This window comes from Homo sapiens, chromosome 7 (genome assembly GCF_000001405.40).
Source record: "Homo sapiens chromosome 7, GRCh38.p14 Primary Assembly".
Classification (NCBI taxonomy): domain Eukaryota; kingdom Metazoa; phylum Chordata; class Mammalia; order Primates; family Hominidae; genus Homo; species Homo sapiens.
This window is the reverse complement of record NC_000007.14, coordinates 100368454-100382154: the sequence shown is the minus strand read 5'-3', so window position 1 is coordinate 100382154 and position 13701 is coordinate 100368454. Positions and strand designations below refer to the sequence as shown.

Below are 13701 nucleotides of genomic sequence, written 5' to 3'. Positions count from 1 at the left end.
GCAGGTAGAGCTGCCTGCCAGTTCTGCGCCTTGCTCCCGCACTCCTCGGCCCTTGGGCGGTCGATGGGACCGGGCGCCGTGGAGCAGGGGGCGGCGCTCCTCGTGGAGGCTTGGGCCGCGCTGGAGCCTACGGGGGTGGGGTGGGGGTGGGGGTGGGGACTGAGGCATGGCGGGCTGCAGGTCCCGAGCCCTGCCCTGCCGGGAGGCAGCTAAGGCCTGGCGAGAAATCGAGCACAGCGCCGGTGGGCTGGCACTGCTGGGGCACCAGGCGCACCCTCCGCAGCTGCTGGCCCAGGTGCTAAGTCCCTCACTGCCCGGGGCCGGCCGGCCACTCCGAGTGCGGGGCCCGCCAAGCCCACGCCCACCCAGAACTCTAGCTGGCCCGCAAGCGCCGCGCGCAGCCCCGGTTCCCGCCCGCGCCTCTCCCTCCACACCTGCCTGCAAGCTGAGGGAGCCGGCTCTGGCCTCGGCCATCCCAGGAAGGGGCTCCCACTGTGCAGCGGCGGGATGAAGGGCTCTTCAAGTGCGGCCAGAGTGGGCACAGAGGCCGAGGAGGCGCCTAGAGCGAGCGAGGGCTGACAGCACGCTGTCACCTCTCACATTTACATATTTATTCCCACACTCAAAAGTAAATTTCATCCTTGGGTGCATTTTTGGTTGTTTTGGTGGTGGTGGTGGGTTTTTTTAATTTTTTTTTTTTTTTTTTTTTTGAGTCAGGATCTCACTCTGTCACCCAGGCTGGAGTGCAGTGGTGGGACCACAGCTACTGCAGCCTTGACCTCCCAGCCCCAAGTGATCCTCCTGCCTCATCCTCCTGAGTAGCTGGAACTACAGGCATGTGCCACTATACCCAGCTAGTTGTTTTTTGTTTGTTTGTTTGTTTTTTGTGAGACGGTAGTCTCGCTCTGTCGCCCAGGCTGGAGTGCAGTGGCGCGATCTCGGCTCACTGCAAGCTCTGCCTCCCGGGTTCGCGCCATTCTCCTGCCTCAGCCTCCCGAGTAGCTGGGACTACAGGTGCCCGCCACCACACCCGGCTAATTTTTTGTATTTTTAGTAGGGATGGGGCTTCACCCTGTTAGCCAGGATGGTCTCAATCTCCTGACCTCGTGATCCACCCGCCTCAGCCTCCCAAAGTGCTGGGATTACAGGCGTGAGCCACCGTGTTTTTGTTTTTGTTTTTTTTGGAGATGGAGTCTCACTCTGTCACTCAGGCTGGAGTGCAGTGGTGTGATCTCAGCTCACTGCCACCTCCTCCTCCCGGGTTCAAGTGATTCTTATGCCTCAGCCTCCCAAGTAGCTGGGATTACAGGTACACACCAGCACACCTGGCTAATTTTTTTGTATTTTTAGTAGAGACAGGGAGGGTTTCGCTGTGTTGGCCAGGCTGGTCTCGACTTCTGACTTCAAGTGATCCGCCCGCCTCGGCCTACCAAACTGCTGGGATTACAGACGTGAACTATCACGACAGGCCACACCCAGCCAATTTTTAAATTGTATTTTTTTATAGAGACAGAGTCTTGCTATGTTGCCAGATTCTTGCTATGTTGCCCAGGCTGGTCTTGAACTCCTGGCCTCAAATAATCCTCCTGTCTTGGACTCCCTAAGTGCAGGAATTACAGGCATGAGCCACCACGCCCAGCCCTTTAATGGAATTTTTTATTTTTGCTATTGTATCTTAAATTTCCCAGAGCTTTCTTTGTGGTTGGCAAGTTCCTTTGTAAAGCACCCTCTCATCACATGCACGAGGTCTCTTAGCTTTCTGAGTAGAAGGAAATGCTGAGTATTTTAAAGTTTTATTCTCCCTGAACTGTTTTGGTTTCTTCCAGGTTCCTCTTTCTGTTTTTCCTGTTTGTTTTGTTCTTTGCGTTTCATGGGAGAAGTTTGTTTCATTTAATCATATAGGGACTCTAGCCTTAGGCTTCCCAAACACAGATGAGGCCAAGATATAGTCCCCGGTGCTGGGGGATTCGGTATGAGGACCAGACCCCAGTCGCCTTGCCAGTTATCCCTGGGGTGCTCCCCCAGAGGCCCTCTGGTTCATCTATTCTGGAAAGCAAACCTCTCGTCTTTGGGCTAGGGTAGGGGAATGGGGAATGGAGGTTTCCCTGCTTCTGACGTAGATTTTCAATGTCCTCTAGTTTTCAGACCCATCTTCACTCCTACTTTCAGGGGTACTCGGGGCCAGCATTACTGAAACTTTACAGAGTTTTGTGGTATAAATTGCCATTCATCTGGGTTTCCCAACACTGGCTTAGGGTTTAGCTCATCTGGGCTCCTAAACCAATTCCATTAGTCTGTTTCCAGCTTGTCAAATTTTGCTTTTGTACATCCAGTTCATATATTTCTTGTTCTTGAGGATTTCTTTCTTAAAAAATTCCCTTTGCTATCATTTTAGTAGACTCTGGGAGAGGGTGGTGGTAAACATGCATATAACCCACCATCTTGGCCAGATTTATGCATTAATTTTTTTTTTTTTTTTTTTTTTTGGAGACAGAGTCTCCGTCTGTTGCTCAGGCTGGAGTGCAGTGGTGCAATCTCGGTTCACTGCAACTTCCGTCTCCCAGGTTCAAGCGATTCTTCTGCCTCAGCCTCCTGAGTAGCTGGGACTACAGGCGCGTGCTACCACGCCCAACTAATTTTTTTGTATTTTTAGTAGAGACAGGGTTTCACCATATTGACCAGGCTGGTCTCGAACTCCTGACCTCAAGATCTACCCTCCTCGGCCTCCCAAAGTGCTGGGATTACAGAGGTGAGGCACCAAACCTGGCCTTTTTTTGAGACAGAGTCTTGCTTTGTCACCCAGGCTGCAGTGCAATGGCATGATCTGGCTCACTGCAACTGCCACCTCCTGGGTTCAAGGGATTCTCCTGCCTCAGCCTCCCGAGTGGCTGGGATTACAGGTACACACCACCATGCACAGACAAGGTTTCACCATGTTGGCCAAACTGGTCACGAACTCCTGGCCTCAGGTGATCAGCCCACCTGAGCCTCCAAAAGTGCTGGGATTACAGGCAGAAACCACTGCACCTGGCCTATGCATTACTTTTTTTTTTTTTTTTTTTGAGACAGAGTCTCGCTCTGTTGCCCAGGCTGGAGTGCAGTGGCACGATCTCTGCTCACTGCAAGCTCCGCCTCCTGGGTTGACACCATTCTCCTGCCGCAGCCTCCGGAGTAGCTGGGACTACAGGTGCTCGCCACCACAACCAGCTAATTTTTTTGTACTTTGAGCAGAGACGGGGTTTCACCATGTTAGCCAGGATGGTCTCGATCTCCTGACCTCGTGATCCACCCGCCTTGACCTCCCAAAGTGCTGGGTTTACAGGTGTGAGCCACCACGCCTGGCTGCCTATGCATTACTTTTACAATGACAATTATTAAGGATTCATAAAGTAATCTTGCATATTAATAACGAGGAAATATGGAGGGTAAAAAAATCTTTTTTCTTTTTTTTCCTGAGACAGGATCTGGCTCTGTCACCCAGGCTGGAGTGCAGTTGCATGATCTCAGCTCACTACAGACAGTTAAACAATCTTATGAGACATTTATATGATGTTTGGCAGAATACTACCAAGATTTACTGAGGGATATAAAATAGGACCTTGTTCCTGGATGGGAAGATTGTGTATTAGCCTGATTTCAGTTTCTGTCAATTGCATAATAGGTTTAATGCAACTGACTTAAAAGAGTGTTGTGTTTTTTGTTTTTGTTTTTGTTTTTCCTAAACTGGATAAACTTATTCTAACATTGGGGAAGGAACAGGCAGGCAACAACAGAAAAATATTTTTTGTTTTGCTTTGTTTTTTAAGACAGGGTCTTGCTCTGCCACTCAGGCTGGAGTGCAGTTGCGAAATCACAGCTCATTGCAGCCCCAACCTCCTGGCCTCAAGCGATCCTCCTGTCTCAGCCTCCTGAGTAGCTGGGACCATAGGTGTGCACTACCACAACTGGCTAATTTTTTTTTTTTTTTTTAGAGATGGGGGTCTCACTATGTTGCCCATGTTAAGTCTCAAACTCTTGGGCTCAAGTCATCTTCGTGCCTCAGCCTCCCAAAGTGCTGGGATTACAGGCATGAAGCCACTGCACCAAGCCTAAAAAAGTTTTTGAGGAAGGAGTAATACGTTTGAGATGAAAATAGTCTTAGGCATTGAAATGTGATAAAGTTACAATCACTAAACCTGTGTGCTGATGTAAGAAAAGACAGATCAGTGAAACAGAATCGACTGACCAGAAACAGATGCTTTTCTACAAAAATAATTTTAAAACCAGGCCTAATGTATCAATAGAGAAGCAGATAAAAATGCAATAAATGGGGTTGGGACAACTGATTATATTATTTCATATAAAGATCAATTTAGTTGTTTATGCCATATACCAAAATAAATTATCACTACATACAAATTTTTTTTTAAATTAAGAAGCCTTGCTCTGTCACTCAGGCTGGAGTGCAGTGATGCGATCTTGGCTCACTGAAACCTCCTCTGACTCCCGGGTTCAAGCAATTCTGTCTCAGCTTCCTGAGTAGCCAGGACTGCAGGCATGAGCCACTGTGTCTGGCCAATATTTTCAACCTATAGTGGAAATAGGGATTTTTGTGCTTAGAAATAAAACAGAAAAGGCCAGGCGTGTTGGCTGAAGCCTGTAATCCCAGCACTTTGGGAGGCCGAGGCGGGCAGATCACGACGTCAGGAGATCGAGACCATCCTGGCTAACACGGTGAAACCCCGTCTCTACTAAAAATACAAAAAAATTAGTCGGGCACGGTGGCGGGCACCTGTAGTCCCAGCTACTCGGGAGGCTGAGGCAGGAGAACGGCATGAACCTGGGAGGCGGAGTTTGCAGCGAGCCGAGATCATGCCACTGCACTCCAGCCTGGAAGACACAGCAAGACTCCATCTCAAAAAAAAAAAAAAAAAAAAAAAAAAAGAAATAGAAAAGTGACAAAGAAGAACACAATTAGGTTTGGTTACAAAAGTAAAATTATGTAAAAAACATTAATAAGCCAACAACAAACTTAGTTATATCTGCTACAAATATTCCTTTAGTTTGTTGCATCTTAGCATGATGGTACTTCAGCTGGATTAAAAAATTTTTTTGCCAGACACAGTGGCTCATGCCTGTATCCTAGCACTTTGGGAGGCCAAGGTAGGTGGATCACTTGAGCTCAGGAGTTTGAGACCAGCCTGGGCAACATAGCAAAATCCCATGACTACAAAAAAAATACAAATATTAGCCAGGTGTGGTGGTGCGTGCTTGTAGTCCCAGCTATTTGGGAGGCTGAGGCAAGAGAATCACTTGAGCCTGGGAGGTCGACACTGCAGTAAGCCATGATCACACTCCAGCCTGGGTGACAGAGCGAGACTCTTGTCTCAAAAAAAAAAAAAAAAAAAAAAAAAGGCAGAGCAAGGTGGCTCACACCTGTAATCCCAGCACTTTGGGAGGCCAAGCTGGGCAGATCATCTGAGGTCAGGAGTTCGAGAGCAGCCTGGCTAACATGGTGAAACCCTGTGTTAGCCTGGCATGATGGTGGGTGCCTGTAATTCTAGCTACTTGGAGGCTGAGCGGGAGAATCGCTTGAACCTGGGAGGTGGAGGCTGGAGTGAGCCAAGATCATGCCATTGCACTCCAGCCTGGGTGACAGAGAGAGATTTTGTCTCAAAAAAAAAAAAAAAAAACACTTTTTTCTCTTTTTATTACTTTCCTGAATTTTGTTTTTTATAATAAGCATGAATATTCAACTAATTGAATTAATTGAAAATACAATTTATTAGTGAAAAAAACAACAAATCTGACCTATGCAGAGAGGTGAGAAAAGCAAGCAGGAATTAAGGAAAGAGGAAGAGAAGGCCTGAGAAAAACCCAAATCTCTCAAAAAAGGCCATTTAAGGAAATATGTAGGAAATCAAAGTTCAAGGCTGTCTTGCTTCATTTAGATTATGGAGCCACTTTCCATCTGCTCCAAAACCAACACAGTGGTTAAGATGGTGCAGTGGTTTACCAGGGCGCAGGCAGCGAGAGTGTCCGTCCCTGCAGGTCCCTGCAGGGAAGAGTAATTTATCCCTGGCATTGTTTAGGATTGCCAGTGCAAGTGATTAGAAAAAACAAACCCACCTGGCCAAAGATTAGTTTCCTAAAACATTTTCTACAGACAATGCACCCCCTTCCTGCCTGGGCCTGGGAGAAACTCCCCTCACCCCACTGATCTGGAGACAGATAAACCCAGGCTCAAATTTCCCCGACGCCCTTTCTGAATAAAACAGAAGATCTATTAGTGCAACACATCCCATCACTAGGTTCAAAAGTAGGTCAAGGCGAACACTATGGTCAACTCAATAGGCGAAGCCCTGTAGCTAGAGGTTAGGTGAGAAAGCTCTGCAGCTCACCATCCCTTTCATTGTGTTTGTTTGTTTGTTTGTTTGTTTGTTTGAGGCGGAGTCTCACTTTGTCACCCAGGCTGGAGTGCAGTTGCTCGATCTCAGCTCACCTCAACCTCCACCTCCCCGGTTCAAGTGATTCTCCTGCCTCAGCCTCCCGAGTAGCTAGGATTACAGGCATGCGCCACCACACCTGGCTAATTTTTGTATGTTTAGTAGAGACGGGGTTTCACCATGTTGGCCAGGCTGGTCTCGAACTCCTGACCTCAAGTGATCCACCCACCTTGGCCTCCCAAAGTGTTGTGATTACAGGCGTCAGCCACCATGCCCATCCCTCACCATCCCTACCAAATCCCATCTGCACCACTAGTGTGATGTTGGGCACAGATATATAGGCTCTGTTAGCCTCAATTTCCCTGTCTGTAAACTGAAGAGAATAGCAGTTCCTCTTGTTATTGTGGAGTCTTGGTGAGGGTTCACTAGGGCAATGCACACGAAGCGATTTGCCAGGGCCATGCCATGGTGCCTCAATGAATGGGGGCTGCTGCTCTTGCTTCTGCAGACACATCCCTTAGTGTTGGGAAGGACAGAGTAGCAAGACCAGAGTGGAGGACAGGGAGAGCACGGCTGGAAGAACCCAGGGGCTTGTCAGGGAAAGTGGGGGCTGCAGGGGCCAGGGAGAAGTGAGGAGGGTAAAGGATGGATGCAGGAAGAGAGGGATATGATACACGAGAGAAGAGGCGAGACAGGTCAGGGAGGAGCTGAAGGACACTTCTGGGAAGCAGAGGGGGAGAAGGAAGTGGGCAGATGGGAACCCAGGTGATAGGGCTTGACCCAGGGACTGCAGGGCTCCCAGGGCCAGCCACTGGGCACCTGCTGGGGGTTCCTGAATGAGCTCCTGACTGTGAGAGATGCAAGGTATGGGGCCCACCCTGAGGCACTAACGGGGACTCCACACAGAGACACATGACAAAGAGCGGGTGAGCCACATCCTGGAGAGATCGAATCGGCCTGGAGGTTATGGGGAGAGGCCAGGCTGGAGCCTCATTTTGGAGAAAGAATGAAGGATAATTAGAGGGTCCAGCAGCTGCTGAGGCCTGAGGAGTGGGGGCGGGGCTGGATCTGGAGGGGACAGTGAGGGGGATGGTTGGGGAAAGCAGATCAGTTGTGGAGACAAGGGGAAGAGAAAAGGGGAGAGGTGGCAAAGGCCTGAGGAAGTGTTAGGGGCCAAAGAGAGAACTTAGGGGTCGTCAGAAGAAGTGGGGTCTGAGGTGCTGGGGACGATGTCACCAGTGATCATAAAAGCCTCACTGCGGTGGGCAAAGCGGGTGCCAGGGCAGCTGGACTCACCCTGGGTGATGGAGAGTTTGGTCCCCTCGATGGACTGCCACTGCTGCCTCCCTGAGCTCCGTGTGTCCAGCTCAACTCGGCAGAAATACACAGACTGGTCCTGCTTCTGCAGGTTGGAGATCCTGAGGAAGCCGCTCTTCTGACCCTCTGTCCAGTTCAGAAAGAGCCGGTTCACATAATCCTTGTGAATGGAAGGCGGCCTTGTGCTGTAGAAGGACTGCCTGTGGAAGTGGCCCCGTCTCCAGGATATTCTCACGTCGGGAGCTGTGGCTAACTCCCAGGGGTAATAGAAGGAGAAGGGGATTTCCACAGAGCCACCCATGGAGGCTGAGAGGTGTTTTGGTTGAGTGACCCCATAAAGGTAGCTTGGACCAGATCCTGTGGAGCCACCTAGAGGAGGGAGGGAGTGAGTAGGGGAGAGACCTTGAAACCACCTCAAGACACAAAGAGGGTGACCCCAGACCCTCCCGCACCTTCACCCACAGGCAGTCGTGTGACAGGTGGCTGGACTGACCTCTGGCCTGGGTCTCCCACTCTTCAGGCATGGGGGAGGGAGGAGGGGGAGAGGATGGGGTCACCCGCCCCTGTGGGACCCGCCCTTGTTTCCTGGTGGTGGGAGCCTGGGCCCTCCCCAAGATGTCCCACCTTTGTCTCGGGTTGGCCCCTCCTGTGGTTTGGGCAGAGCCCACATCTGGGTGGTCCTGGGTACTCACTAGGCTGCAGAAATGCTGGCGGCAGCAGCAAGGGCAGTAGGGGCAGCAGCAGGGGCCGACCCATGGCCTTGTTCTTCTCCAGGGGACGGGGAGACCAGCAGAGCCGTCCAGGCAGGAGAGGGGCCCTGTGGAGGGGCCGCCTGGGGGTTGAGGTGAGTGAGGAGAGCCGGGCTCAGGCTCCGAAGAGGGCTGTGGGGGCCAGGAGCCTTCCCCAAACCAGTGCACCTCCAGGGTGACCAGCACTTCCTTTATCCATCTGGCTTATTTTCCCCTATTGCAAAAGGGCCTCCCTTGTGGTCAGTGCCAAGTCAGCCCTGCCCAAAGGCCGCGGTCCCCGTCCTCCTGCCGAGGGGCTGGGCCTGACCTTGGGGGGCTGGGCCTGACCTTGGCTGGCTGGGCCCCTCCCACCTGGATCCCTGCAGACCCCACCTCACTCAGCCTCACTTCTCATCCTTCTCTCTGCCCAGGGCCAGCGCAGGCTCTTTCAGGGAGAGGAAAGGCAGGCCTGAATCTCTGTCCTTCTGCGCCCCAGATTCAGTCCTCAGAGAGGAGGAGAAGGAAGCCGGTGGAGGTCACAGGTGCTCAGCCCCCAGCCCAAGCAGAAGAGCCCCCAGCTTGTCCTCTGTCCCTCTCCCTCCCTGGCAGGGGCTCCCATGCAGTCCCCAGGCACCACCACGACCCAGCTGGCCTCTTCCTGCCCCAGGCCCTCTCTCGGTGCAGGCACCACGACCTTGCTCAAGGGGTGAGGGGGCTAATGGTCCCCTACACAGAGACTGGTCCTTCTGGAAGCCACCCCTTGACCCCCAAGACATGAGACTGGGTCTGCAGGCTCCCCTCTGACGTCCCGCCCTACACAGGAGGGGACAGGGCTCTGAGAAGCCCTGCCCCAGGCCACGTGACTTGCAGTAGTGGGTACAGGACTGGAGCCCCCTCAACCCAGATGTCTGGGCCTGGCTGAAGGGTGGAATCTCTGGGCCTCAACTTCTGAGTGCAGGACAGGAGGCTGTCCCTTCATACAGCCCCTCAGGTCATTCCCTCCACACACCTGAGCCCTTGGCTGATCCAGAAGCTTCCTTGGACACAGAAGAAAGTGAAGGCTCAGAGCAACACCCACCCCACACACAGTCCTGGGCCCATCTCTAACGGGGATCTGCCGGCCTTTGCCCGGGGGTGGTCACTGGAGCAGGGAGCTTTGGTGGTGCACAGGGCTCCCTCCGTAGGAGGCTCTGCCCACCCTCTCCAGGGTGAGGTGGCATCAGTTGAGGGGCCGTGGGGGAAGACAGGATTTCATCAGAGGAAGTGACATCAGCCTTCTTGAGACAGAAGCAGGCAGGGACGGGCCTCCCTTCTCTTAGTCTCTTCCCTGGTCCTAGTAGGCTCCTCTGTGCTTCCCAGGGCCAGCCAGGCCGGCCCGCCCTCCCTCCCTTTACAGGCCTGAGGAAACAGGTTCCCCATGCTCAGGAAACCCCTCCGTCTGAGCCAGGCCCTAAACACCTCATTCTCTGCTTCACAACATTCTGAGGTGACACATTATCTCCATTCAACCCACAGGGAAACTGAGGGACGGGGGCTTTGGGCTGAACTGGTCACAGCTGGAAAGATGGGCTGCAGAGAGGACAAGGGACCCCCTGGCTGTCTGGGCAGGGCCTCGAGAGGGTGGCCCGCCCCACCTGAGGACCTGGCTGAAAGGTCACCTGCTTACCAGGCTGTCCAATGTGGGGGCCACATAGAACTTATAGCCAACAGCCTCTGGGTAGCTCTGGAGGGCACATGCTGCCCAATGCTGCCACGTGCAGTCTCCTTAGATGCAACATGCATGTTTATGTCACTTTCAGGCCCTGGATCCAGCTGAACCCCCATGGGAGATTCCTTCTGTGTCAGGATTTCTGCTCTGGGATGGTGTGAGGTCTCCTGGATTTGTTCATCCTCCCTCCCCCAACAGCAGTGACAGAACCTGGGACTGAGCCTGGGGCTGTGGCTCTCTCACAGACAGGGCTTCTGAGAGGAGGAGGAGGGCCTGGAGGAGGGCATGATTCCAATGTGGGCAGAGCCTAAATGCAGCCCCTTAGTGCAGGTGCTCATGGGAGAGGCGTGGGAAGTCGTGTGTGGGGAGCAGGGGCAGGGAGGGGGTAAGTACCCTGCACCGCATTATGAGAACCACTGCTTGGATGTCCCCACATTCCCCCAACAAGTATCCTACTGTCCTCACTGGCCACATCCGTCCCTGCCCCCAGCCCCTCACCTCTCCTTGGCACCCACCGTTCCTGCTTTCCTCTGATCCCAATCGACATCCCATAGGCTTTGTGGAGTTCACAAGCCAACTGTAATATTCTCACAGTAATTCAAAGGACCTAGAATAGCCAAAAGGCCTTTACAAATGAAGAATGAAGGTGGAAGATTTATAATACCTGACTTCAAGACTTGCTGTAAAGCTTCTGTAATCAGGCTGTACTGTCCTCAAGGTACTAGAGTGTCCACAGACTGGAGTGTAGGGACGCGATCACCATCACTCCTGGGCTGAAGCAATTTGCTGACCTCAGCCTCCCAAGTAGTGAAGACCACAGGCACACACCACCACACACGGCTAATTTTTTTTTTTTTTTGAGAGATGGGGTCTCACTATGTTGTCTAGGCTGGTCTCAAGTTCCTGGGCTTAAGCAATCCTCCTGCCTCGGCCTCCCTCAGTGCTGGGATGACAGGTGTGAGCCACCTCACCAAGCCCCACTGGATTGCTGATATTCTGGCATCTTGGACCTCCAAGAGCAGAGAGAGGGACTGCCCCTGCCAGAGCCAGCCAGTTGTTAGAGCTAGCAAATGACCCCTCTGAGAGTGTCCCTTTTTTTTTCTGAAACAGTCTCACTCTGCTGCCAGGCTGGAGTGCAGTGGCACGGTCTCGGCTCACTGCAACCTCCACCCCTGGGTTCAAGCGATTCTCCTGCCTCAGCCTCCCAAGTTGCTGGGATTACAAGTGCGTGCCACCATGCCCAACTAATTTTTGTATTTTTAATAGAGACGGGGTTTCACCACGTTGGCCAAGATGGTCTCCATCTCCTGACCTTGTGATCTGCCCACCTCGGCCTCCCAAAGTGCTGGGATTACAGGCTTGAGCCACGGCTCCTGGCTGAGTGTGCCTTTCATATGCAAACCAGCTAATCCAGGGCCCCAACACTGAACCAGCTCTTCTAGCTGCCTCTCACCCTTCAGAAGGCAGTATTTCTCTGCCTTCATCATCCTGGGCCAGACACCAAATAACAAATGACAGCCTCTAATCCCCAGAGCCTGCTAACGTTATTCTAACTAGCCAATCCTAAACCTGCATACCCTTCCTTGCCTTTTCCAGGGAAAGCATAACAAAGGGTCTCACCCCTGTGTTCCCTTGGCTTCCTCTACTCCCTGAGGGACCCTGGTGCTTTCCCAAGTGGCCCTGCATGGCTGTGTCTCTCGTTTCTGGGGATCTGTGAGGATACACTGCTTCCCTTATGACCCTCATTTCCATGGCCATACCTGATGGAAAGAAATGGCAGGTGCATTTTGTTTTATTATTATTATTATTTTGAGACGGAGTCTCACTCTGTCGCCCAGGCTGCAGTGCAGTGGCACCATCTCGGCTCACTGCAACCTCTGCCTCCCAGGTTCAAGCGATTCTCCTGCCTCAGCCTCCCGAGTAACTGGGACTACAGGTGCCCACCACTATGCTCACCTAATTTTTGTAGTTTTAGCAGAGATGGGGTTTCACCATGTTGGCCAGGCTGGTCTTGAACTCCTTACCTCAGGTGATCCACCTGCCTAGGCCTCCCAAAGTTGCTGAGATTACAGGCATGAACCACCGCGCCCTGCCAGCAGGTGCATTTGATTTATTTTTATTTTTTGAGACGGAGTCTCGCTCTGTCACCCAGGCTGGAGTGCAATGGTACAATCTCGGCTCACTGCAACTTCCACTTCCTGAGTTCAAGTGATTCTCCTGCCTCAGCCTCCTGAGTAGCTGGGATTACAGGCACGTGCCACCATGCCCGCCCGGCTACTTTTTGTATTTTTAGTAGAGATGGAGCTTTGCTATGTTGTTCAGGCTGGTCTCGACCTCCTGACCTTGTGATCTGCCTGCCTCAGCCTCCCAAAGTGCTGGGATTACAGGTGTGAGACACTGTGCCTGGCCCAGCAGGCGCATTTTAAAAGAGCTTTTAACTCTCTGGACAATCCCAGGAGGTAGGCAGCATCTCTGTATGGTCCTCAATTTATACAGAAAGAAACGGAGGCCCTGAGGGTGGTTCTGAGCCTAGCCTGAGGTCACATGGCCCAGGAACGTCCACTGTGGCATCAGGTCTGAGCTTGGGGCCTGTGCGGCCAACCACTTCCCCATTCAGTGACATCAGCCAGCAGTCCTCTGGGCCTCTGTGACAACCATGCTTCCCTTTTCTGTGTTGTCTTCCTTCTGCACAGGGAGGTGCTTGAGGGCTGGGGCACTGGCTGGTGTAGCTTTGGGTCCTTGTCACCCAGTGCAGTGTGCCTGTCACCCAGGGCAGTTAGTGCTGACCAAATGCGTATGGAGAGGGTGGAGGCATCTTCAAGGGGTGGGGATCAGGTGACGATCATTTTCAGTAGAGATGGGGTTTCACCGTATTGGCCAGGTTTTTTGTTTTGTCTTTTTTTTTTGAGACAGGCTCTCTCTCTGTCACCCAGGCTGGAGTACAGTGGTGCAATCACAACTCACTGCAGCCTCAGTTGCCACCTGAGGGCTCAATTGATTCTCCCACCTCAGCCTCAAAATGTGCTGGGATTACAGTCATGAGCCACTGTGCCTGGCCCAATCATGCCTTTATAATGAAGCCCATAAAAACCCAAAAGGGATGCAGAGGGCTTCTGGATAACTGAACTCATGGAGCTTCCTAGAGGGTGCAGTGCCTAGAGAAGACACGGAAGCTTTGCACCCCTTCCCCCAGGCCTCCCTCTGTGTATCTCTTATATCTGGCTGTTCATAACTATCCTTTGTAATATCCTATATCTTTATTTTGAGACGGGGTCTCGCTATGTTGCCCAGGTTGGTCTCAAACTCCTGTGCTCAAGTGAACCTCCCCCCTCAACCTCCTGAAGCACAGAGATTACAGGCATGAGCCATGGCGCCAGGCCCTATAATATCCTTTATAAGGGGACACATGTAAGTAAAGGGCTTCCCTGAGTTCTAGGTACCATTCTAGAAAATTAATTGAACCCAAGGAGGGGATCATGGGAACCTCAATTTTTATAGCCCTGTGTCAGAAGCACAGGCACCA

At 52.2% G+C, this 13701-nt stretch overlaps 1 protein-coding gene across 5 annotated transcripts in view, besides 2 other annotated features; it reads right to left on the bottom strand.

Moving 5' to 3' along the window:
• PILRA (paired immunoglobin like type 2 receptor alpha) overlaps positions 1 to 10864 on the bottom strand; it is a 28806-nt gene extending 17942 nt beyond the window's left edge. For 3 of the 5 annotated variants that reach the window (NM_013439.3, NM_178272.2, NM_178273.2), the window contains exons 1-2: positions 8435 to 8668; positions 7722 to 8111 (exon numbers count right to left, since the gene is read on the bottom strand). In NM_013439.3, the coding sequence (NP_038467.2) occupies positions 7722 to 8111; positions 8435 to 8498 (454 nt within the window). In that variant the 5' untranslated portion in view covers positions 8499 to 8668. Of the gene's footprint in view, positions 1 to 7721; positions 8112 to 8434; positions 8669 to 8878; positions 8896 to 10842 lie in introns of those variants that run through there. The other 2 variants (XM_047420292.1, XM_047420291.1) reach the window with 2 other exon arrangements.
• Positions 7937 to 7996: an enhancer, noted in NCBI's record as "active region_26360". NCBI's record gives its function as "activates an Ori minimal core promoter by ATAC-STARR-seq in GM12878 lymphoblastoid cells {active_cell/tissue: GM12878}" and the evidence as "EXISTENCE:reporter gene assay evidence [ECO:0000049][PMID:35858748]".
• Positions 11000 to 11751: an enhancer, noted in NCBI's record as "OCT4-H3K27ac-H3K4me1 hESC enhancer chr7:99968027-99968778 (GRCh37/hg19 assembly coordinates)". NCBI's record gives its function as "activates a minimal SCP1, AML or CMV promoter by ChIP-STARR-seq in naive H9 embryonic stem cells {active_cell/tissue: H9 hESC(naive)}" and the evidence as "EXISTENCE:reporter gene assay evidence [ECO:0000049][PMID:30033119]".